Raw genomic sequence first — 25,616 nt, 5'->3', positions numbered from 1 at the left:
CCACCATGCCCCACCCTAACCAAGATTATTTAAACACAACTCTATCAAAGTCACAACCAAACTGGCCTCTGACGAACACCTTCACCATACCTCCTTACAACTGTACGATAAATTATAGTTTAGAAAGCACCTTTGCAGATACCTCATGCAATCCTCACAAATCTGTGAAATGAGTCTTACTATCTCTATTTTATGAATGAAGAAACTAAGGCTTGGAAAGTTTCAGTAATGTGCCCAAGGTCATGGAAATGGTAAGCGGCAAAGAAAAAGAGATTTAAGAAGTGCAGGGAATACTAAAAATTTCAAAAACCTAATAAATGGCACATTTGACTTGGTAAAGTGTTTGGTGATGAGTACCTTAGTAACACAAACACCTAAGGATATGTTGAAAAAGAGTGGCCACAGGTTACACTGGTTAGGAGTACAAAAGATCAAGCATTCTGTAATTTGATCATACTACACTGTCTTACTAATACGGATGTTCTACTTAACAGAATTTTCTAGAAAAATGTTTGACACTGACAAGTGATGTGAAGTGGAGAAATTTAGTAACAATCAAATAAATCCAGATATCTTAGTAACTAGTGTGGCTCCATGTGAACTAGTTTTATAACTTGGAATTAGGACCTAGCATACTTGAGCATCAATTCAAAAAACAATAAACTTAGAAGCTTGTCATACCATCAAGTGGCCAATGCAGCTGCTCAGCAATGAGACTAGCTTTATCTGAGCTATAAAAATTACTGCAGGCAATAGTATCACTAATAGTAATCATTTGGCAAATTAAAGTCAATACACATGGACAGGGAACGACTTACTGTGCTTGTGCAGTTTAGATGATTGAAGACCCAATGTAAAGGCTTCTGCTGCAATGTGTATTAACTACACAGTAATTAATGATGGGCTGAAGTGGAACTATAATCATGTAGCAGAGAAAGTCATAAAAATGTCCTAACAAAGGTACTAAAATAGAGGTGATAAATGTTTTATGGCAACAATCTGAAATTGTAAAATGGTCTGGTGCAGACATAGACGCGACCCCATGTTGTAAAATATCAACATCAAACCACCACATACATGAAAAAGGGAACCAATTAATCCAGTGACAACTAAACTCCTCCCAAACTGTAAAGCTAAGTAATTACTCCTATTGAAAGCATGACTGAAACTCTGCTGAAAGATCAGTGAAAATATTCATGATTTTATATCATCAACAGGTGAGAAAACAATAGTATATAAAGTTTGCCTTGGCAGTTTGGGATATGGAAATATTCCTGAAGATCTGTCCTAAATACAAAATTAGGAAAAGCTCAGTTGATGATAGGTGCAGACAAGGTATGGTGATCTTGATCAAAACATAAAATGGACACTACACTCAGTGCCTTATATGAGTGGATGAACAGCTTTATAGGTTAGCCACGTGTTTGTCAAAGGTTGTGCTAGAACAGATCTATTACCAGTCAATAACTCCTGGTTGTGACCAGAATGGTTGTGGTTACATGTAACATAATTCTCAACTATGATCCTTAAATCCCAAGACCACGATGTAGGTCTAGGCTGTTGTCTTTGCTATTCTCGTTTTTTTTTTTTTTTTTTTTTTGCCTCGGGGTTACGAGTCGGCTGCTATAGCTTTCAGAATCACACTCACACTACCACATTCAAACGCAGGAAATGTGAGTGGCAGCAAAAAGAGGCTTTCTTCACAGAACTGTCTCCCATTCTGATCAAAAAAGAAAATCTTTCCAAGAACCCTCCCCCAGGAGACTTTCTTTGATTGGCCAGAACCAATGAGATGAGACCAGTCTATGCCAGTCACTGGGATTACTAAAGAATTATCATGAAAGGTTTAAGCCAATGTTAATACCTCCCCTAAGTGCATTGTTGCTTACTCAATATCTGAACAAAATTACGGTTCTTGAGCATGAAAGAAGCAGGCACAGGGAAGACTATCAGTTAGGTAACCAGTAATGCCTGCCTCACTGGCCAACAGACCAGAAAGTCGATTCTTGATAAAACCAAAGAATAGTAGAATTCATTCTATTTAATGGGACGATCACACAGATATCACAGAAAACATGCTCCCCTTAAGAGCTAACAGCCAGGTGCGGTGGCTCACCTCTGTAATCCCAGCACGTTGGGAGGCCAAGGCAGGCTGATCACTTGAGTCCGGGAGTTTGAGACAAGCATGGGCAACATGGTGAAACCCCATCTACACTAAAAATACAAAAATTAGCCAGGCATGGTGGCCCATGCCTGTAGTCCCAGCCACTGTGGGGTGAAGTTGGGGGTGAGGCATGCGGGAGCTGAGGCAGGAGGACAGCTTCAGCCCAGGAGGTCAAGGCTGCAGTGAGCCCTGATCGTGCCAGTGCACTCTAGCCTGAGCAGCAGCGCAAGACTCTGTTTAAAAAAAAAAAAAAAAGGCTGGACATAGTGGCTCTTGCCTGCAATCCTAGCACTTTGGGAGGCCGAGGCAGGCAGATCACTTCAGCCAAGGGGTTCAAGACCAGCCTGGGCAACATGGCAAAACCGTGTCTCTACAAAAAGTACAAAAATTAGCCAGATGTGGTGGTGCACGCCTGTAGTCCCAGCTACTAAGGAGGCTGAGATGGGAGGCTTGCTTGAGCCCAGGAGGCGGAGGCTGCAGTGAGCCAAGATCACACCACTGCATGCCAGCCTCAATAGAGCGACCCTATCTCAAAAGAAAAAAAAGAAGACCTAACAAAAGGGGCAAACCAAGGAACATTAAAGAAAAGCCTGCTGTTTAAGTAAATGAGACAGTTTCATACCTTCATTCAATAAATATTTACTCACTGCCTACTACGTGCCACATGCTGTTCTAGAGGCTATGGGTACAGTAATGAACAAAACAAAGTCCCTGCTCTCAAGAAATCTATACAATAGTGGTTTCTGATTTAAAAAAAAAAAAAAAAAAAAGCATGCACCTTGCAGACAAGAACAGCAGTCATGCTTCCTCAGTAATTCAGAAGACTGTGCCTTATACACACACCAAATCGCAAAAAGAACAAGTTGGTAGAATTATAGAAAGTGCACTACATATTCAGCTAAGTTATTTTTTAAATGTTTAAATACTGATAATGCATATTTGATATAGCATTCTTCTAGGTATTCAAAATACTTTAACGTATATTATCCTTTTTTTCTTCTCTTTTTTAAAAAACCACTTTATTTATATATTTAGAATAGTTTTAGGTTCACAGCAAAATCCAGAGGAAGGTACAGAGATTTCCTATACACTCCCCTCTCCCACACAGGCACAGCCTCTCCATTATGAACATCCGCCACCACAGTGGTACATTTGTTACAAGTGATGAACCTACACTAATACATTATAATCACTCAAAGTCAGTAGTTTGAGTTAGGGTTCACTCTTGTACATTCTGTGGGTTTGAACAAATGCATAATGACACGTATCCACCGTTTTTTGTTTTGTTTTGTTTTGCTTTGTTTTTTGAGACAGAGTCTTGCTCTGTTGCCCAGGGTGGAGTGCAGTGGCTTGATTTCAGCCCACTGCAACCCCTGGCTCCCAGGGTCAAGCAATTCTCCTGCCTCAGCCTCCGGAGTAGCTGAAATTACAGGCGCCTGCCACCAGGCCCGGCTAATTTTTTTATTTTTAGTAGAGATGGGGTTTCACCATGTTGGCCAGGCTGGTCTCAAACTCCTGACCTCAAGTGATCCGCCCACCTCCGCCTCCCAAAGTGCTGGGATTACAGGCATGAGCCACTGCGCCTGGCAGTATCCACCATTTTTATAGTATCACACAGAGTAGCTGCACTGCCCTAAAAATCCTCAGTACTCTACCTATTCGTATCTCCCCTCAACCCCACCCCTTGGCAACTGATCTTCTCACTGTCTCCATGTTTTGCCTTTTCCAGAATGTCATGTAGTTGGAACCATAATTGTACATTATCTTTACTTCCCTATTGACTGTGAAGGAAGAAAGGGCAGCTACTAATACACAGGCCCCAGGAAGATGAGAACCTAGGTCTGCATCTCCCTAACCATTCAGCTTTCATTACAAACAACAACTTTGCCAGAAACTAGTCTCTAAAATTAAGCATGCCCCCAAATAGAGGCCAAAGTTCTTAGAAAATCTCTGAAGGTGACCTATCCCCTCATTTAAATTCACTGTGGCTCAGTGATGGTCCATGAGAGAAAGATGGGATAAAGGGATAATTGGGGGTATGGATACAGAGCCACACATCTTGGATTTAACTAGAGTCTCTGTTGTGCTTGAAAATAATTTATTAGAGTTCTACTAGAGAAATAGCCTCCTAAATAGCTTTTATTTATTTATTTTTATTTTTATTTTTTTGAGACGGCATCTCGCTTTGTTGCCCAGGCTGGAGTGCAATGGCATGATCTCGGCTCACTGCAACCTCTGCCTCCTGGGTTCAAGCGATTCTCATGCCTCAGCCTCCCAAGTAGCTGGGATTACAGCTGCCTGCCACCAACCCAGCCAATTTTTGTATTTTTAGCAGAGACAGGGTTTCACCATATTGGCCAGGCTGGTCTCGAACTCCTGACCTCAAGTAATCCACCTGCCTCAGCCTCCCAAAGTGCTGGGATTACAGGCGTGAGCCACCATGCCCAGCCCTAAATAGCTTTTAACTCTACTGTACATATGCCTGGGTCTCTTTGAGTGTGTCAAAGGGAAAGAGGAACTAAAGAATGCCAGCCTACAGTTATATTCTGTTGCCCTAGTTCTCATAGTAAAAGTGAGGAAAAGGTGGCAGACCTATCTATATTCAGAAGCAGTGAGCCTCAGAAACCAGATCTCCTGCTAAAAGATCTGGAGGTCATCAATGTTCTGGTTTCAGGGACAACATTTAATCAATAAAGACCTTTTGACTATTCTCTTTTGACCAAAGAATCCAATACCAAACCCTACATATACCAGTTCCCAATATAGGAAAACACAAAATCTCTAATGGGAGTTAATTTCCCATTTAGCAATGGACCATTTGGAAGTAAGAACATTGCTCATCTCCTGGTCCAAAATAGGGCAGAAGAGACGCTAAAAAATGTCAAGGTGGAAACTGTCATTTCAACAAAATAGGGGAGGGTATAGGGGTGACAGCAGTAGATAGATAAAACGAAAATGTCTTGACTTACTTTTTGGTGAGCCGTGGGTCAAGAGGAGGATGCTGTGCTCCATATACAGGCTGAATGCTAAAAGCAAAAACAAAAGGAAGAAATAGTTAGTTTAGTTAGGAAACTAAATATGTTGGCTAAGTGCCATCTGCATCACAAAATTGGATGAGACTTTGATAAATAGGTTATCTCTAATAACTGTACTCAAGCCATCCCCCAAAGAGAGCAATCTACCCGTTAAAAAAATATATTTGATAATGTTCATTTTCCCTGGTGAAGTTTCAGTGCCTTACACACCTGTCAGGATGTCCTATGTGTAAAGAAGGCAGGATGGAAAGGTAACGGGCTTTAGAGCTGGAGAGAGCAGAGTTCAAATGCCAGTTCTGGCACTCAGTACCACCATGAACTTCCAGCAAGCTTTTTGACTCCTTTGAACCTGTTTTCTCATCTAAAGTGGGAATATTGCCTAATTGAAAGGCTCACTGGGCTAAAAGACAGTGAAGGGTGACCTAAGGAACTCACACACTGCAGGAGGGGTATAAAGTAAAATAATTTAGCCATATCTAGGAAGAATGAAATATGCATACCCTAAGACCCAGTATTTTCACTCCCAAATATGCATATTAAGATAAATATATACATATATGTATTAGGAGATATATATAAGACTATTCAAAGCACCATGGCTCGTCTTAGCCCCAAACTAGAAATAACCCAAATGTCCATCAATAGTGACAAGAGAAATCAATTGCAATATGTTTATATAGCAGAACATTATACACCAATGACAATATATGTGAAGTAGGGCTTCAAGTAACAATGTGGATGGATCTTACAAATGTCATGTTGAACAAATAAGTAAAGCATAAGAATAAATACTGTTATGATTCGACTTATATAGACTTCAAAAACTGACAAAAGTAGTTTCTACTGTTTAGGAATGCATGCAGAGTAATATTATAAAGAAAGAAAGGAGTAAATGACATAAAAGGATATAGTTCTCTCTGGAGGAAAGAAAGGAGAAAACAGCAAATAGACACAGAAGTTTCTGGGGTGTTCACTTTGTGATTATTCATTAAGCCATCATACCACACATTTGTGCTTCATGTGCTTTTCGGTCATGTATCACAATTAAAAGAAAATGAGCTGATGGGATGGCTCACAACTGTAATCCTAGCACTTTGGGAGGCCACGGCAAAATGACTGCTTGAGCCTAGGAGTTCGAAACCAGCCTGGGCAACAAAGTGAGACTCTGTTTCTACAAGAAAATAAAAAATTAGTTGGGCATGGTGCTGCACGTCTGTAGCCTCAGCTACTTGGGAGGCTGAGACGGGGGGATCGCTTGACCCCAGGAGGGTCCAGGCTGCAGTGAGCACACCACTGCACTCCAGCCTGGACCCTGTTGGAAAGAAAAGGGAAAGAGAAGGGAGAGAAGAAAGAAAATGAGAATAAATGATTCAAGAATAAGTATATATCAAGCCAAACTATTGTTTAAGTATAAAAGTGAAAAAAAACTACTTTTCAACATGTAAGAACTCAGGGAAAATGTGTTCCTTAACACCTGTCTGAAGAAGCTGTGAGAGAACAAACTTCAACTAATCATGAGATGGAGAAACCATGGCAAAAGGATTGGTGGAGAGCCCTGAACAGATCCAACCTTATGACTAGGTCTTACATTTGAGGCAAAGAGAACATCAAAGTAATATAATTGGCAAATGTTAAAAGGAGGAAAAAATGGACAAATGAAGTGCATTGACTTCTTCATCTTTTACTGACAGGGCTCAGAAGATATTTAAAGCAGATAGCTCAATTTGCAAATCTATGTCACTACCTGTTTAACATTAAATCCTAATGTAGATTTGCAAATGTTAATAGACGAATATGGATGTTTTACGACAGAAAATAAAACCAAGAAAAATAATATAATCAACTAGAAGCAGGTGGGAAGAGAGGGGTGAGGAAATATACTTACTAATTTCATCATTACTCATGGTAGGGAGCCAACAGGTACTGTCTGAAGAAATATGGTATAAAGTTACACTTATAAACACAATCACTAAAATAAAAAGATAAATCTTCCAAATTATCAGAATATATATATGTGTGTGTGTATATATATATGTGTATATATATATTATATATATAGTGTATATATATATTATATATATAGTGTATATATATTATATATAGTGTATATATATTATATATATGTGTATATATATATTATATATGTGTGTATATATATTATATGTGTATATATATATTATATATGTGTGTATATATATATTATATATGTGTGTATATATATTATATATGTGTGTATATATATATTATATATGTGTGTGTGTATATATATATATATATGTATGTCCTCCCCTCAAAAGCAAGCACAGTCCACATAGTGAAAGACTTTTTTAAGAAGAAAATATTTTTAAAAGGGCAAGCATGGTAGCTCACATCTGTAATCCCAGGACTTTGGGATGCTGAGGTGTGAGAACTGCTTGAGGCTAGAAGTTTGACCAGCCTGAGCAACGTAGCAAGACCTTGTACCTACAAAAAATTTAAAAATTAGCCAACTGTGGTGGTGCATGCTTGTACTTCTAGCTACTTGGGAGGCTGAGGTGAGAGGATTACTTGAACCCAGGAGTTTGAGACTACAGTGACCTATCATCGTGTCACTGCACTATAGCCTGGGCAACAGAGTAAGTCCTTATCTCAAAAAAAAAAAAAAAAAAAAAAAAGACGAAGAAAATATTAAAAATTGAACTTAAACTAAATAACTAAATATATCAGTTATTCCAATAAATATAAAGGAGCTAACTTACCTATTAAAATAGAAAGGATAATTACCAACAGGAAAGTAGTTAAATAAATTACAGTATATCTTTTAAAAAGAATGAGGCAGTTCTGGCCAGGTGCGGTGGCTCACGCCTGTAATCCCAGCACTTGGGGAGGCCAAAGCAGGCAGATCACCTAAGCTCAGGAGTTCAAGACCAGCCTGGCCAACATGGTGAAACCCCATCTCTACTAAAAAATACAAAAATTAGCCGGGCATGGTGGCAGGCACCTGTAATCCCAACTACTCAGGAGGCTGAGGCGGGAGAATGGCTTGAGCTGGGGAGGCGGAGGTTGCAGTGGGCCGAGATTGTACCACTGCACTCCAGCTTGGGGGACAGAGCAAGACTCCGTCTCAAAAAAAAAAAAAGAATGAGGCAGTTCTATATTCACTGACATGAAATAAACTCAGACATTAATTGAAAAAAGATGCAGAACTACATGTATGACACCATTTTTATAAAAATCTTTAAAATAGATACATGCATTTTATGTATGATTAGGTCTATGTATCTGAAAGAATATCAGAGTATCTGAAAGAATACAAAAGACACTGGTAGCAGCAGTTTGGAATAGGAACCAGATGACTGGAAGATGATGGGACACCAAAGAGACTTAGTTTTCACTGCAAACCCTTTCTGATTTAGTATCATGTACAAGTATCACCTTTATAAGAAATAAGCGATCTTGAGAAGGTTAGAAGGTTTAAGTGGGACGATATGTTGAAAGCCCTTTAGCACAATTCCTGGTGGGTGGTAATGCTAATTTAATGTTAAGCAGGAAGTGACGTAGATTTGCAAATGTTAGAACACTACCCAGCAAACACTCAGTGCCCAAGAAATGTTGATTTTCTTCCTCCCTCCCATTTTTATAATTTAATCCATACTCAACATTTAGAAATTGAAACAAGCTTACCAAATACTTGTTTCACATAACAGAGGTGATCCTAAAGGATGCTCTTAAATAAAAATATAGCCAAATCAATCACTTTCACATTGATTCCTATTAAGATTTCAGAGGAAATCTTACATATAATCTTTAATTTATGAATACAGTCCCTACTTCTTTAGCTATAAGAATCTTTACTCCCTAAACCTCTCTGGAAGATTAATAAGTAATGTGTAAGCAAACTATTACATATATTACTACAGAAATACAAACTTTGAAAACAATACTAATTGATGTGTTTAAAGGGTTTCCTAGGCAGAGAGAAAAAAAGAGGAATCAAAGAGTAAAGGGAAAGTTCTGCTGAGAGAGGAAGGGGGTGTTAGACACCCCCACTGACCACGGGAAAAAAAAAAAAACCCAAAGGGCTACTGATATGCACATTAGCAGCTGCAAATAATCTAAGAGTACACCTGAATTCTTCAAGCCCACAAGCCCTCCTCACAATAAAATATAAAATCAGAGGATAAACTGCAGGAAGATCTCAACAGGCCGGTTAGGTAAGGTGACTGGGTAGAAAAATAAGAGAGTATTACCTTAAAGAAGTATTACCATCTGCCAGTAACCCATGCAGAAGAAAAGCAAACCTAATTTGTGCAGGCTGAAGGGCCAGAGGCCATCAATTACCATCTAGGAAAGGAATCTTAAAATCACAGTAGACTATTTTTTAAAGCTGTCAGCCCAAGGTGCTGGCATAGCCAGGAAGGCTAAGATAAATGATGGACTTCATCAGCAAAGGTATCAGGGCCCAAATTGAATTTGTTAACATATTCTTGAACTGAACCATGATGTATCTAAAACTGGAACACTTTGTATAATAAATCAGCTTATTGCAGCTTAAAAAAGACAGGCAAGAATTTAGAAAAGAGAAACCGAGATGATCACAGAGACTAAATGGAGATAGACCAGAAGAGCCCAATGATTAAGGTGCTCAATTTCCTGACATTTATAATTCACCTTTCACTGTCTGTACCATACCTACTCCTTCCAAACCCAAACTCAGCTCTAAGAAAGACTGATCTCCACTCCACCTTCCAAACTTATTAAACCCATTATTAAATAAGGCTCTTTTCCCTACTTGGAATGCTTTTCTATTTTCTACATCCCTTTTCAAAATTGTATCCATCCTGCAACATTCTCTTCAAATTCTACACCCCTCATGAAACTTTCCATACCCCTACCCCCAGCATCTACTAACTCATGTCTTCTCTAGTTCCCTAACATACATAAATTAGGGCTTATATTACTTTTTAAAAATAAACTAGATTTAGATCATAATATAAGACACAATCAGGGCTGGGCACTGTAATCCCTGCACTTTGAGAGGCCGAGGCAGGCAGATCACTTGAGTCCAGCAGTTCGAGACTGGCCTGGCCAACACAGCAAAACCCCATCTCTACTAAAAATAAAAATTAGCTGGGCTTGGTGGCACACATCTGTAATCCCAGCTACTCAGGACGCTGAGGCACAAGAATTGCTTGAGTCTGGGAGGCAGAGGTTGCGGTGAGCCGAGATCGTGCCATTGCACTCCAGCCAGGGCAACAAGAGTGAAACCCCGTGTCAAAAACAAAACAAAACCAAACAAAACAAAACACCCTGGCATACCCCTCCCTCCCTTCCTAGCAAGCCACTCTATTGGATCTGGCATTTTTCACACTCATTTTTATATTTTTATTTTCTATGTATGTATCCCTAAATAATGTATGATTTTGCATGTTTTTTAAACTTTATATAAATAACATCACACTGTAAATATGACTTATTTTGACTCTAAATCATGTTACTTTAAATTTTACTTAATTCCATGGCTAACTGGCTGATCTCTCCAACACAAGTTAAAAAAAAAAAATACAAAACATTTGCTCTAACACAAGTGAAAAAGCATTTAATTGACATTTTCAAACACAAAGAAAAGTACAGAAAATGATATAATAAACATCCACAAACCCATCACTCTGATTTACAAATGTTAACATTTGTCACATTTCATTTAAGAAAAAAAGTGTTAGGCCGGTCATAGTGGCTCACGCCTGTAATCCCAGCACTTTGGGAGGCCAAGGTGGGTGGGTCATGAGGTCAGGAGATCAAGACTATCCTGGCCAAAATGGTGAAACCCCATCTCTACTGAAAATACAAGAAAATTAGCTGGGTGTGGTGGCACGCATCTGTAGTCCCAGCTACTCGGGAGGCCAAGGCAGGAGAATCGCTTGAACCCGGGAGGCGGAAGTTGCAGTGAGCGGAGATCGGGCCACTGCACTCCAGCCTGGCAACAGAGTAAGACTCCATGTCAAAAAAACAAAACAAAACAAAACAAAAACAAAGTGTTAGACTACTGATGCCCTAATTGCAGTCCCTAGTCCTGTTTCTTCACTTCCCAAGAGATAACAATTATTCTGAAATTGGAGGGAACTCCTCCCATCTGTTTTTATTCCTCTACATATATTCACAGATCCATAAACAACACACAGTATTTTTTATGTTTTTAAACTTCACATAAAAGACTGCACATTGCACATATCTTTCTACATCTTGCTCTTTGCATTCAACAATGTGTTTTCACCCAATTCCACTTTTAAGTTTGTCTGATTACAAATATAACATATGTTTAGTGGAAAAACCAGAAAGTCAATCATACACAGCATCTTCTCCAGGGGAAGCCATGATGCCAAGCAGATTTTTTAGCTCCTAGAAAGCCATAGTGGTGCCATATCTTTTTCTGTAGCCCCCTTGCCACCTGGCAGAGCATGACACATACCAGCAGGCACTTAACAATATTTAGTAAGTGAAGATTAGATCTCTACAAAACCTAGGCCTCCACTTAAGCTAGACCTAAAAACCAGAGGTTAGTTAACACACTGCATCTCGAAGAAATCACACCACATATGCAGAGAAAAGAATGCCATGGAATATGCTGCCACGCAGACAAAATGGAACAAAAGTTCTGATTAATCTCCGTCACTCTCTTTAATAAAACCAACACCATAGAATGTATTGACATAGCTGTTTTGCCTAGTTGAAACAGTGCAAACATCTTGGTAGGAAAAATCAACAGGTGTTTGTTTAGCACTGATAAAAGAGCTAGTGCAAATATGGGAAAAAGACCCATCAAATTTAAATGCCAAACGTGTTGGCAACTGATGTAGGTTCACACACTCACTCCACATTAGTCTTCCAGAACAGGTGATCTATGCTGTTTCGATGATAATTTAGTATCTTCTAGTCACTCACTCTACCAGTAAAACATCTCCAAGCCAAGAACAAGTTGTAATGTACCTGCCCAGACAGGCTGTGACTTTTACACTAAGTCTCCTATCAGATTCATTATTATTTTAGGATCGGCTTCAAGTTCTTAACTTGGCCTCTCTTTCTAACAACGAAGGGCCTGGAAGACTCAGGTAATTTCGATTTTGGCCAGACGCAGAGGCTCATGCCTGTAATCCCAACACTTTTGGAGGATGAAGTGGGCAGACTGCTTGAGCCCAGGAGTTCATGACCAGCCTGGGCAACATGGCAAGACCTGTCTCTACAAAAAATACAAAAATTAGCCAGGGCTGGGCACGGTGGCTCACACCTATAATCTCAGAACTTTGGGAGGCTGAGGTGGGCTTGAGGTCAAGAGATCACTTGAGGTCAAGAGTTCAAGACCAGCCTGGCCAACATGGCGAAACCCCCTTCTCTACTAAAAATACAAAAATTAGCTGGGCATGGTGGCATGTGCCTGTAATCCCAGCTACTCAGGAGGCTGAGGCAGGAGACTCGTTTAATCCTGGGAGGTAGAGGCTGCAGTGAGCTGAGATCGTGCCACTGCACTCCAGCCTGGGCAACAGAGGGAGACCCCATCTCAAAAAAAAAAAAAAAAAGGTGATTTTTTTTTTCTCCTGTGCCCGAGCTCTAGACACACACACACACACACACACACACACACACACACACACACACACACACACTGACCAAAGCTTTTTTATTTTTCCCCCATAGGTTTGTGCCACCAAGCCCAGATAATTTTTTTGTGTGTTTTTAGTAGAGACGGAGATTCACCATGTTGGCCAGGCTGGTCTCGAACTCCTGACCTCAAATGATCCACCTGTCTCAGCCTCCCAAAGTGCTGGGATTACAGGTGTGAGCCACCACACCCAACCAGATCAAAGCTTTTCAATTTCAGTTTCAAAAACTGAAGCAAGGAGAGAAAACAAAAATGATAGCTACTATCATCGTAACTATCCTTCTTATAATAGCTAATATTATTGTGTACCTCCTAACCAATTATTATGTATTATCTCATTTAATCCTCATAACAGCCCCATGGAGCAGATACTCTGTCCCTATTTTAGAGATGGGGAGACTGATGCATTGAGAGGTTAATTAAATCCCATAAGATCACATAGCTAGAAAGCAGAGCTGGGATTTTAACCTAGGCAGTCAGATTTCAGAGCCTGCATTTTTTTTTTTTTTTTTTTTTGGAGACAATCTCTTGCTCTGTTGCCCAGGCTGGAGTGGAGTGACGCAATCTCAGTTCACTGCAACCTCCGTCTCCCAGGTTCAAGAGATTCTTGGGCATCAGCCTCCTGAGTAGCTGGGACTACAGGCACACACCACCAAGCCCAGCTAATTTGTATTTTTAGTAGAGATGGGGGGTTTCACCACGTTGGCCAGGCTGGTCTCGGACTCCTGGCCTCAAGCGATCCACCTGCCTCAGCCTTCCAAAATTCTGGGATTACAGGCCACCACACCTGCCAAAGCCTGCAATGGTAGAGATTGCCTCTTATCTTCTAGGCATTAATACAATGACCATTTGATGTGCTAAGTAAATGGGGCTCATGTGAATAACTGAGAGAACTTAAAAGATGCTTAGTTCCACCAAGTTACTACATGACCCAGCAATTCCACTCCTATTTATCAGCAGAAGAATAGAAAATATATATCCAAACAAAAACCTCTGCATAAATGTTCATAAAAGCATTACGTACAATAGCCCAAAAGTGAAAACAATTCAAATATCCATCAACTGATGAATGAACAAAATGTGGTGTATGTATACTATGGAATATTATTCAGCCATAAAATGGAATGAAGTACTGATACATACTACAGCGTGGACAAGCCTGAAATCACTGTGCTTAATAAAAGAAGCCACTCACAAAAGGCCTCAGATCATATTACTCCATATATATAAAATGTCCAAAAGTGGTAAATCCACAGAAACAGAAAGTAGGTTAGTAGTTACCAGGGTCTGGAGTGGGGTGGATGGGGAGTGACTGTAAACAGGTATGTAGTTTCTTTTCAGGATGATGAAAATGTTCTGAAATTAGTGGTGATGGTTGCACAAAACCATCTATACTATAAATGAATATACTAAATACCACTGAATTGTACACTTTAAAAGAGTGAATTTTATGGTATGTGAATTATATCTCAATAAAGCTGTTATTTTTAAAAAGAATGTTTCATTCATTTGCAACTTCTTTTATTTAATAAAATTTCTATTTGTTGTCACTAAGATTGTTGGATCATGATCAGACAAATGGAAAGAACCCTGTCATCGCTTTTATTTTTCACCTTTCAATTTGCAAAGAAGAGTAAACTAGTTTCATTTCCAAGTTTGCATGCATCCAGTAGAGTCATTTGTGTCATTTCCCCACCCAGGAGAAAGTTTTTCTTCTCTAAGACCGAAAGAGTACAGATGCAAAAGTTCTATTCTTGAGAAAATGCCCTAACATTTTCTTTAAACCAAAGTACCTTTCTATCTAAAAGAACCTTAGTTTTCTCCTATGACCAGAGGCTTGTGGGCTTCACTGCTAAAAGCACACAGCTGAACAGTATTTCTCTTTACCAAGTAAGGTACTAAAAACTATTATGAATTGTGACAATATTTGAATACCTTAAACAACGAAGACAATGAGCTGGGGTAAGGATCTGAGTAACATTATTTTAAATGTTTACTTGCTGTAATAATGACAGCAATGTTAATAACTACTGTTTTTTTGAGCAACTATAATGTGCTAAATAAACACTGTCCTAGGCTCTTTACAAATAGGGTATTTCACTTAGTCCCCACAGTAACTCTGAGGAAAGTATTTTTATTTCTCATTTCATAGGTAAGGAAATTGAGGCCTAGAAAGATTATTTGTCTTGGTCACACACACAACAGAGCCCAAATAGTAACCCAAGTCTTTCTGAACTCGAAAGTTCTCTATTTCTCTATATTCTTCAAAATGAAAAAGGAATCCAGAAACTTGAAGAAACTGAAAAGACTTCTCTTCCTATCTCAGAAAAGTAGTGCTTTAAAAAAGTTGACTGTTCTTATAGCCAAATACAGGAAATATAGGAAAAAAAGATTGTTAATAGCAACCAGCAGTCAGAAGGCACAGAAGCCCATGCCACGTCCCACATCTCTTACACTGCTTCCTGATACAACAGTCTTCCTATTGATTATGATTATAATCTTAGGATGTCAAAATTTAATGATCTCACTACGGAAAACCCCAGAGAATAGCAGTTAGCACAACTAGAGAGCTCACTAGACCAGGAAGGAAAAGGAATCAGTTGGCAGGAAGTGTGCTTACCTAAAAACACAGAACATCTTTAACAGTAATATTAACACTGTTGAGTCCACAGCACTTTAATCTGAAGTTATCTTTGCATTCCTTTCTATTACTTTAATAAGTATTACTAAAAGCTGATTTCCACCCTATTCTCCATATGTCTACTAGAATCCTTAATAAAATAAGACTCTTGGTGGGGCATGGTGGCTAACGCCTGTAATCCCAACACTTTGGGAGGCCAAGGCAAGAGGATCACTTGAGGCCAGGAGTCAGAGACCAGCCCTGGCAACACAGTCAGACCTTGTCTCTATTTCATTTAAAAAAAAAAAAAAAATTAAGGCTCTTACCTAGCCACTACTGACCCTCATCTCTCTCTCGCTTAAAAAAAAAAAGTCACGAGTTCAAAAGATTATCCCAGAAGGAAAAAACCTGAATCCATTAGAAAAGGTAGCACAGGGGACACAACCAAACATGAATTTCATCACCAAGTAGACTGTAGCTGGCAGAAATCTTAAATTTACGACTGAAATACACACTCTTCCTTATACTTCTCAGGACTTTGCCCAAAATAAACTGAAACAGTAAACCAACAGTAGATTGATGGATGGATAATTTGCCAAAAGTCTCAACATACACCGAAAAGAGGGTGGGGGTAGTCTTAGGGGGTCTGCTCTCCAGTTAAACAACTGAAGAATGAACGAATTTAGTGCATTTGCACAAGAAGTGCATTACAATGCAGGGGAGGAAGAAGTCACTTGGGGTTGGACAAATCCTTAGAAAATGCCAAAGGAATAACCCTGATTCTGTGGTCGTCTTGTAATAATTCCTAGTGGGAAAGGGCCAACTCAAGATAAAGTAAGGTCAGGGTTGAGAATCGTCCTCACTTTTCCTGCCTAACCCTCTCGGCAGGCGGCCCCAAACTCCCACCGGAATCCTTCGGGTAAGTGCCGACCTCAGGGATCAAGGGAAGGGGCCATCCTCGAGCGACCAACCACCTGTGCGTGGTGGAGACCCCTGAGAGGGAGTCCTAATTAGAGTGGGAAGCAGCTCTGGGGAGGAACTTCCGAGACCAGGGCCGACACTGACTATTCACCCAACTCCACTCCCCTTTACGCCCAATCTTCGGCCACCTTCCCGCTGAGGTCACCCCTCCTGAAACCTCCGCCCCCAGACCCCGGTCTACACCCACATCCAGCCGTCCCCAAAGCTCGCTGTTCGCTTCGCTGCCTGACAGCTGCCCTGCCGCCACCAGGCAGTCCCAGCTTCCCCAAACCAGTCTTCTGGCCTCTGTGGCGCCCCAGGCCCGCGGGATTCAGGGATTAGGATCTGGAAGGGTTTGGTCCAATCCCCTATCCCTCTCAGCGTCCTGGGCTCACCTCCCCGGCAGCTTAGCGCTCCTCTTCCAAAACTGCTTGCTGTTCTCAGCGGCCATTGCTCTGGCCGGGGGAAGTCCTTGTAGGCGGGCCAAGGGTTTGCCCGGCGAGATGCCCCCAGACCCCGCAATCTGAGGGCCAACCCAGGCCGCTTCCCCGCCGCCGGTCACCCGCTCCCAGCTCCTGGGGACGCCATCTTGGATGTGGGCACCCCTCCACCCAGCACCGCTGCCATTGGTGAGCTGCGCAAGCCGTGGACGGGCCGACCAATTGGGAGCCGGAATCCTGCAGGCCGCTGAAGCCGACCGGTAACGTCAGGGGCTGGGCACACAGGTGGACGGGGAAGGCGGAGCTTGGACGAGCCGAGAGGCGGGGCTCAAAGTTCCTACCCGCGAGAGGGAAGAAGCAGGTAAGGTAAGGGACCTATGGGAAGGAAGAGGGGATTATCTTCTTCGTGAGGAATGAAGTTCCTTAGTCTAATATTTCTTGGCAAGAGAGAACATACTATGTATTTATATATAGGAATCTTTCACCTAAAAGTAAGGGCCCATGTGTTGGTTGTGGCCCATTTTTAACATCTCTCAATTCAATGACACTCTGGTTATTACCCTCCTTTCCTCATTCCGTTTACATGTCCATTCGTTTTTCTGAAGGAAGGTCAGCAGGGACCCGATAGCCCGGGATTGCTAACTGTTCAACACGTGAGCAACGGTTCATCAGAGTCTCCCTCTCCCTCTGTTTATTGAAAACGATTGAAGGACTTGTGCTGTGGGTTAAAAATTCAAATGATCTAATCCCTATGTCAATCCATAACTCTCACTTTCTGACTATGCTAACAGTGTATATAGGAAATGGTTTATGATAGCTGTCCAACTCAGATTACCAAATACCATTTCTTTGAAGGACACAGTATTGCTCCATCGTGTGAATCACAAAGTTAAGGATGTATCTCCTCCCGGCCCCACCAACATCCTTAATTTCCCTTGTTAATCTATTATAAATCTTGCACCCTTGAATTTATTTTCAATCTAATTTTCCCAGACAATGAGATTTAGTATTAGCATTTTGAATCCTTTGAATGTCTTGTCAGCGTTTTTTGCTGGTTTTGAGTTTCTGTGGTTGTATTCCGTGGTGATTTGGGGAAAGAGGGAAGGCGGGCACCAGTCCAGAGTGGTTTTTGTCCCTTCGAAGGACTGTTGAGGTGGGCTGCGTGTCCCCCACCCCCACCCCCACCCTCCATTTACAGCTACCACATGTACTTCCACATATTGGAGAATACTTAAAGACCTGACCCCTGGCCCCAGCCAAAGAAGGACCTTCTTTTATATGTCCTCCAACGACGGTTTCTTCATTACTCCCATTTTCAAGCTTCTTTTGTCCCCTAATTTAAGAATTATAGGATTGGATGACAAGGGCTATTTTTACTTCCTCTGAGTCTTTCATGCTATAAAAGCATCTTATCTTCTTTATGGGCATTTAACCCAGAGAAAAAAAGCCCCTCTATTCTTTTAATTATTTTACTTGCCTTTCTCTGGCGCTTCTTTTTCTTAGGATGCAGTGACCAGCACTGCACACTAAGCCCAAAGAGGGATGTACTGAGGCTTTGTTAAGGCTGATGTTTTGTCTTTATTCTGGACAGCCAGACCTTTTGCTGGCTGTTTGGACTTTAGAAGAGTTGATGTCTTGAAAGAGTAATCTAAAACAACTTCTAGATTCCTTACCTTGGTGGCAACCAGCAGTTCAGAGTTCATTGTCTTAAAGGTATCCTCTGAATTGTCTTTCCCTATGTGAGCTGCCATACACTCATCCATGTGACAAGATACCTGCCACTTTCCAGCTTATGCACATGGCTTTAGAGATGTTCCAGAAGCTGCTCCCTATTGATTTGACATTTTACTATGTGGAAAGCAAAGTATGATTTGTGTATCTAGACATATCTCAAAATACTCCTTTTTCTTAATCTTCTATGAAATGTTAAATGACACTGATTCCCAGGGGGTGTAGTTAACAGTGCTCAACCCAGAAAAGCCCTGTTATTTCTACAGTTTGTTTTCTATATCAGTTTCCCCTCCAAGATTTTTTAAAAATTCACATCAGTTACCTTGTGATGACTTTTTAAATAGGGAAATTGAGATTGTTGGAACCTTTTTCACCACTACCACTTGGTCACCCTAATCTTCACCAACCACACACCTGCTTACAGCAGCCTGCTATTCGGCTCCCTGCTTCCACTCTTAGCCCCTTAGAGTCCATTCCCCATATACCAACCAGAGAGACCTTTTTTTTTTTTTTTGAGACCAGGTCTTGCCCTGTCACCCAAGCTGGAGTCCAGTGACATGATCTCAGCACACTACAACCTCCATCTCCTGGGCTCAAGCAATCCTCCCACATCAGCCTCCTGAGTAGCTGGGACTAACAGGCACATACCACCATGGCCAGCTAATTTTTTGTATTTTTGTAGAGATGAAGTTTCACCATGTTGCCCAGGCTGGTCCCATACTCCTGAAACTCAAGCAATCCACCACCTTTGGCCTCCCAGAGAGCTAGTATTACAGGTGGGAGCCATCGCACCCTGCCCAGAGACACCCTGTTAAAATGTAGACGATATCATGTCACTCCTCTGCTGAAAACTTTGCAATGGCCCCCATTGTACTTGGCATAAAATCCAAGCTCCTTAAAGACCCTACATGACTTGGCTCCACTCACCTCTCCAGTCTCATCTCATTATGCTTTCTTTCTTGCTTAATCTGCTGCAGCCATGCCCATTGGTCTTATTGCCTGGCTCTATTTTTCTTTAAAGCGCTATCACTACAGGCCATATTATGTACTTGTTTGTTGTCCATCTCCATCCCCTAGAGTAAAGGCCCCCTGTCTGTTGCCTGTTAGGAACCAGGCCGCACAGCAGGAGGTGAGTGGCGGGTGGGCATGCAATCATTACTGCCAGAGCTCCGCCTCCTGTCAGATCAGCAGCAGCAGCAGATTCTCACAGGAGTTTGAACCCTATTGTGAACTGCTCATACAAGGGATCTAGGTTGCATTGCGCACTCCTTATGAGAATCTAATGCCTTGTGATTTGAAGTGGAACTGTTTCATCCTTTAACCCCCCTCCCCCAAAATTTTCATGGAAAAGTTGTCTTCCCTGAAACTGGTCCCAGGTGCCAAAAAGGTTGGGGACTACTGCCCTAGAGATCGTGAACCCCACTAAGACTGGGACTTTGTTTTGTTCCCTGCTGTATCCCCAGCACCTAGAATAGTGTTTGGAACATAGTGAGTGCTTAGTAAATATTTACTGAGTGAAAGAAGGAAGAATATAAATATTTCTTGTCTTTCGATTCTATGTTGTTCACATATTTTTATGTTAGGAAAGATGATAGAAACAGTGTTTCCTAACCCCTAGTAGGATGTGTCCACTTTACCAATGACTCTACATCCTTGCCTACATCCTTGGTTGAAGAACAGTCTTCTCTGAGAAAGATTGTATTCTTCAAACTCTTTTGCAGCTTCAAAGGAATGTGCCTGTACCTGGAATGATGAGGGAGGGAGGCCACCCACCTAGTCAGGAGATCAGTTGGTAGCTGTCATCAAAGGGCTGATAGGTATGGCAGCCACCCTTGCCCAGCAAGAGGTGTAAATCATTGGTTTGAGGTTCCCAAGGGGTCCTTAGAGGCCTTCTGATGGAGGTCCTTCTTGGCAGACATTCACTGGTCCACTAGACCAGTGCTTCCTATACTATATTGCACATGTGAATCACTGAGGATTATATTAAAAACCTAGATTCTGATTCAGGAGGTCTGAGGTGGAGCCTACAACTCAGAATTTCTAACAAGCTCCCAGGTGACACTGATGCTGCTGATCCATGGACCTCACTTTATAGATCTTCTGTTACTAATACAGTATGGCCTGTGATTGTTTACTTTATCTCAAGAGTTTATTTTGAAACTGTAAGTAGAGGCTTCTGCAAGTTTTTACTTTCCCCCCCTCAACTTCATCTTCATTCAAAAGAGGGTTAAACAACTTAAAATGTGGCAAAGTATAGTTAAGGGATGAGATATGCCTGGGTTGACTGTGGACTCAAAAGAGGTAGGCATATCCCAACCCTTAGAGAAAGTTTTATGAAAGAGATAATCCTTGAGTAGGGAGAGAAAAGGAAAGAGAAAGGCCTGAAGAACTATAGGAGGAAAGTCACTTCAGGACAGGAGCTCCAATGGGAAGATAAAAATAGAGAAAAAAGCCTTTGGACTTACAGAGAGATCCCTGGCAGACTTTAACCTTAGTGAAGGAGTGGAGTGGAAGGAAGGAAGTAGACACTGTGATGAGGGGAAGGGTTAAGAAATGAGAGCAAGAAGCAGCCCTCACAATGCACTGTGCAATGTTGGGCCACCTAAGAGATAGTGAGGTCAAGCTGGGATTTAACAGCAAGAGAGCTTTATAGTATCTAAACAACCACTGTTAGAGCCAATGGCAGAGATCAGTTATATTAGAGAAGGCAAGGGGATAAGCAAAAAGACTGAAAAAGTAAGAGGTTATAGGAATAAAGAGAGGAAGAGAAAGTTTTTAGAATTTGGGGGGTGAAGGGAAAACTAGGTATTTCATTCCTAAGAATTTATTCTAAGAAAAGAAGTCACCATACCTGGCAAGAAGAAAGGGGGAAATCTCTGTGTACAAAGATATTCTTTGCCTTGCAACCAATAATAAACAGGGGAAAATGAAAAGAATATGAAGATTTAAACATGAGAAGAAGTTATGTAAATTATGGTGTGCAGTTTATAAACTTGAACCATGTTATACCATTAAAGAGGGCAAATTTGAATGCTACATAGCACATCAAAAAGGTGTATGAAATGTACAGCAGGGAAAAGGTAGAATATAAAATATCTTTGCATGATTTCAATAAGAATATATGGGTTTTGTCAAAGATTGGAAGAAAACGTGGAAAAATTAAGCAAATTTTGGTAGAGGGTAGAATTATATACATCTTGGTACTTCTGGAACTTTTCTTTAATGTTACCGTTTTTTAATATTATAAAATATACATCACCTGGGTAACAGTAGCTCACACCTGCAATCCCAGCACTTTGGGAGGCTGAGGCAGGTGGATCACTTGAGCTCAGGAGTTCGAGACCAGCCTGGGCAACATGACAAAACCCCATCTCTATCAAAAATACAAAAAATTAGTGGAGTGTGGTGGCACACACCTGTGGTCCCAGCTACTCAGAGGCTGAGGTGGGAGGATCACTTGAGCCCAGGAGGCGGGGGTTGCAGGGAGCCGAGATTGTGCCATTGCACTCCAGCCTGGGTGACAGAGTGAGACCCTGTCAAAAAAAAAAAAAAAAAAAAAATATATATATATATATATATACACACACATACACACACACACACACACATACACGTACACGTGCACACACACACCCCTCACACCCCTCACAACATATACATGTTGACATATATATGCATGTGTGTGTGCATATATATATGCATACATGTATATGTATGTTATGTATGTATACATGTATGTATGTATGTCAACCAGGGGTTGACAAACTTCTTGTATCAAAGGCAGGATTGTAGATATTTTTAGGCTTTGCCAGCCATATGGTCTCTCTTGCAGCTATTCATCTCTGCCATTGTAGTGTGAAAACAACCATAGACAATAAATAAGCTCTCGGGGCTGTGTAATAATAAAACTTATTTTATCCACATTGAAATTTGAACTTTATGTTACATGTCATGGAATATTATTCTTCTTTCAAGTTTTTCAACAATTAAAAAATGTAAAATCCAGGCCAGGCGCAGTGGCTCACGCCTGTAATCCCAGCACTTTGGGAGGCCGAGGCAGGCGGATCACCTGAGGTCAGGAGTTCGAGACCGGCCTGACCAACATGGAGAAACCCTGGCTCTATTAAAATTACAAAATTAGCTGGGCATGGTGGCGCATGCCTGTAATCCCAGCTACTCGGGAGGCTGAGGCAGAAGAATTGCTTGAACCTGGGAGGTGGAGGTTGCAGTGAGCCGAGATTGTGCCATTGCACTCCAGCCTGGGCAACAAGAGTGAAACTCCATCTCATAAAAAAAATTAAAAATGTAAAATCCATTTTTATCTCCTAGGTCATATAAAAATAGCATACCAGATTTGGCCCATCATTGGTAATTTGCCATCTCCTGCAATAAATAATAAAGAACAAATAAGAAAAAGATTAATAAACAAAAAATCTTAAAATATAATTAAAGTTCCATTTTGTTCCTCTCTGATCTCATTCCCCTCCGTCTCTCCAGTGGAAACCACGATCCTGAGTTACATGTTCAGCATTCCCATGCATGTTTTAGAGTTTTATTACATATGTGTGTATCCATAAACAACATGTTTTTCATGTTTTGAAACTTTATAAATAACATCATACTGTACATATGCTTCAGCAACTGGCTTTTTCACTCAACATTCTGTTAATACATTGAGCTCTAGTTTACTCATCTTAACTGCAATATATCGTTCCCTTATGTGAATATTCCTCAATTCTCATTTCCTGTTATTTTTATTTTGAGCATTGCTCATTCAACATTCTTTATACATTATCTCATGGAAATTTTTCTCTAGTGCAGTTTTTTTCAAATTATAGTTTCTCAACTGTCTTAGTCCATTCAGGCTGCTATAACAAAATATCATAGGTCAGTCCTTTTGCAGTTTGTAAGCAAGATGAGTGGGTGTTCATTCCCATATGTGAGATGTGCCTCCCTCAAACCTTGTTTCCTGTCGGCACATTACCTGTCTGACATGAAAAAATAAAAAACAAAATATCATAGATTGGGTAGCTTGTAAACAGCAGACATTTATTTCTCACAGTTCTGGAGGCTAGGAAGTACAAGATCAAGATGCCAGCAGATTTGGTCTCTGGTGAGGGCCCATTTCCTGGTTCATAGATAACACCTGCTGGCTGTGTCCCCACATGGTGGAAAGGGTCAGGCAGCTCTTTGGAGCCCCTCTTAAAAGGGCAGTAATCTACCTTCATCACCTCCCAAATACCTTACCGCGTAATACCATCATATTGGTGATTAATTTCAACATATGTGTCTAAATCCAATTTTGAGAGGACACAAACACTCCATAGCATCAACTACTAGTGAGTTAAAGTAAACTTAAAGGTTGGGACCTTTAATGAAATAGAATAGACAGAAATAGAAAAGATCAGAATGTGTTGCATGTAATATGGGCATTGTTTAGCAAAAATTTTTCCCAGCTTTTTTACACTTACACATACATACACGTGTGTGTGTGCGTGCACACGCACGCCTGAGAGAGATACTTGGTTGTGATGTAAAATGTACTTCTCAATAAGAGGTCGTGATCAGCATGTTTGAAAAGCACTGCTTTAAGGTACAGTACCTAGGAATATCTAGGAAAGGCGTTGCTAAATCACAGAACATGTACAACTTCCACTTTACTAAATGTTGCAAAATGTTCTCCAAAATGGCTTTTCCAACTTATCCTCACAGCAATGAGTGTGAGTTTACATTGCTCCACATCCTCACCTATAGTAGAATTTTTTCATGGGACGCTAAATATATCATACACACAAGAGAATGTATAAAACTAATATGCACAGTTTGATTAATAACATTTGCATTCGTGTACCCACTCCCCATGCTATAAAACAGGATATTACCAATACCTTAGAAGCCTCTTAGGGGTCCCTTCCTATGGGCATTCCCCTTTTCTCTCTCTTTCAGATGTAACCACTCTGCAGAATTTTGTATTAATAATTCCCTTGTTTTTATATTTTCTACCTATGTTTGTAACCTTAAGTAACATAATATTGTATACATCTATTCTTCTGTTGCCTGCTTCTTTTAGACAATAGTATGATTTTGATATTTACCTATGTTGATGAGTACAGCTACAGTTCACTAATTTTCACTGTTGTAATAGTCCATTTTATAATACCATATTTTATCTATGCTACTACTGATGGACATTTGGTTGTTTCACATTCTGTGCCACTATGAACTCTGCTGCTACAAACTTTCTTATGTGTGTCTTCTGCATAAGTGAACAACTAGAAAGATTTCTCTAGGTTGTTGACATGGAAGTGGAATTGGTGGTCTGGAGTGTATGCATAAGTTCAACTTTGCAAAATACTGCCCAACTGTTTTTCAAAGTGGTCATACTACTTTACACTTCCAACCACATGGGATGAGAGTTCCATTTTTGTTTCCTATAACATGGTTTCACCAGTAAATCAAAACTGGAGGGAAAAGGTGGTTCAAAGTCAGATCCTAAGGGAAGGACAAAATTTGGTTGAACAGGAAACAGAAAAGTAGAAATCTTAGTCTCTGTTCAGTCACATAGAAATCTTCCTTCCACTGGGTGCGGTGGCTTACACCTGTAATCCCAACACTTTGGGAGGCTGAGGTGGGTGGATCACTTGAGGTCAGGAGTTCGAAACCAGCTTGGCCAGCATGGTGAAACCCCGTCTCCACTAAAATACAAAAAAATTATCTGGGCATGGTGGCACGTGTCTATAGTCCCAGCTACTTGGGAGGCTGAGGCAGGAGAATTGCTTGAACCTGGAAAGTGGAGGTTGCAGTGAGCCAAGATTGCACCACTGCACTCCAACGTAGGCAACAGAGTGAGACTTTGTCTCCCCCCTCAAAAAAAGAAGAAGAAGAAGAAGAAGAATGAAAAGAAATATTCATTTCTTCCTTTCTATTGCCATAAATTTCTGCATGGCACAAATTCAAAATCTACAAATGGATATGCTTAATTGTGGCCCCCAAAAATATTTGTCTACATTAAAATCCCTGGAACCTGTGG

The 25,616-nt window shown here is 40.7% G+C and overlaps 3 protein-coding genes and 1 non-coding gene across 21 annotated transcripts in view, besides 5 other annotated features; 3 read left to right on the top strand and 1 right to left on the bottom strand.

Moving 5' to 3' along the window:
* TBC1D22B (TBC1 domain family member 22B) overlaps nucleotides 1–17,012 on the bottom strand; it is a 75,199-nt gene extending 58,187 nt beyond the window's left edge. For all 6 annotated transcript variants that reach the window (NR_130108.2, NM_017772.4, XM_011514738.4 and 3 more), the window contains exons 1-2: nucleotides 16,811–17,012; nucleotides 5,134–5,190 (exon numbers count right to left, since the gene is read on the bottom strand). Coding sequence is in view for 5 of the 6 variants with exons in the window: in NM_017772.4 (NP_060242.2) it covers nucleotides 5,134–5,190; nucleotides 16,811–16,866 (113 nt within the window). In the remaining variant the exon portion in view is untranslated. The remainder of the gene's footprint in view (nucleotides 1–5,133; nucleotides 5,191–16,810) is intronic.
* Nucleotides 9,903–10,403: an enhancer, noted in NCBI's record as "H3K4me1 hESC enhancer chr6:37232157-37232657 (GRCh37/hg19 assembly coordinates)". NCBI's record gives its function as "activates a minimal SCP1, AML or CMV promoter by ChIP-STARR-seq in primed H9 embryonic stem cells {active_cell/tissue: H9 hESC(primed)}" and the evidence as "EXISTENCE:reporter gene assay evidence [ECO:0000049][PMID:30033119]".
* Nucleotides 16,010–16,645: an enhancer, noted in NCBI's record as "H3K27ac hESC enhancer chr6:37225915-37226550 (GRCh37/hg19 assembly coordinates)". NCBI's record gives its function as "activates a minimal SCP1, AML or CMV promoter by ChIP-STARR-seq in naive H9 embryonic stem cells {active_cell/tissue: H9 hESC(naive)}" and the evidence as "EXISTENCE:reporter gene assay evidence [ECO:0000049][PMID:30033119]".
* Nucleotides 16,640–25,616, top strand: part of TMEM217B (transmembrane protein 217B) — a 45,964-nt gene continuing 36,987 nt past the window's right edge. For 2 of the 3 annotated variants that reach the window (NM_001395378.1, NM_001395377.1), the window contains exon 1: nucleotides 16,640–17,216. The gene's annotated coding sequence lies outside the window, so the exon portion shown is untranslated. Of the gene's footprint in view, nucleotides 17,222–25,616 lie in introns of all 3 variants that reach the window. The other variant, NM_001395938.1, reaches the window with a different exon arrangement.
* The window catches only part of TMEM217 (transmembrane protein 217), a 45,964-nt gene continuing 36,987 nt past the window's right edge, over nucleotides 16,640–25,616 (top strand). For 6 of the 11 annotated variants that reach the window (NR_172517.1, NM_001395242.1, NM_001395243.1 and 3 more), the window contains exon 1: nucleotides 16,640–17,216. The gene's annotated coding sequence lies outside the window, so the exon portion shown is untranslated. Of the gene's footprint in view, nucleotides 17,222–25,616 lie in introns of all 11 variants that reach the window. The other 5 variants (NM_001395241.1, NM_001395238.1, NM_001162900.3 and 2 more) reach the window with 3 other exon arrangements.
* Nucleotides 16,732–16,791: an enhancer, noted in NCBI's record as "active region_24455". NCBI's record gives its function as "activates an Ori minimal core promoter by ATAC-STARR-seq in GM12878 lymphoblastoid cells {active_cell/tissue: GM12878}" and the evidence as "EXISTENCE:reporter gene assay evidence [ECO:0000049][PMID:35858748]".
* Nucleotides 16,892–16,951: an enhancer, noted in NCBI's record as "active region_24454". NCBI's record gives its function as "activates an Ori minimal core promoter by ATAC-STARR-seq in GM12878 lymphoblastoid cells {active_cell/tissue: GM12878}" and the evidence as "EXISTENCE:reporter gene assay evidence [ECO:0000049][PMID:35858748]".
* Nucleotides 17,052–17,181: a silencer, noted in NCBI's record as "silent region_17135". NCBI's record gives its function as "represses an Ori minimal core promoter by ATAC-STARR-seq in GM12878 lymphoblastoid cells {active_cell/tissue: GM12878}" and the evidence as "EXISTENCE:reporter gene assay evidence [ECO:0000049][PMID:35858748]".
* On the top strand, nucleotides 23,478–23,580 carry LOC124901537 (small nucleolar RNA U13). The gene has a single exon (XR_007059968.1). It is a non-coding gene; the product is annotated as a small nucleolar RNA U13 (small nucleolar RNA).

The sequence above is a fragment of the Homo sapiens genome, chromosome 6 (assembly GCF_000001405.40).
Source record: "Homo sapiens chromosome 6, GRCh38.p14 Primary Assembly".
Classification (NCBI taxonomy): domain Eukaryota; kingdom Metazoa; phylum Chordata; class Mammalia; order Primates; family Hominidae; genus Homo; species Homo sapiens.
Note: the sequence above shows the minus strand (reverse complement) of the source record. Positions and strands in the feature narration are given on the sequence as shown.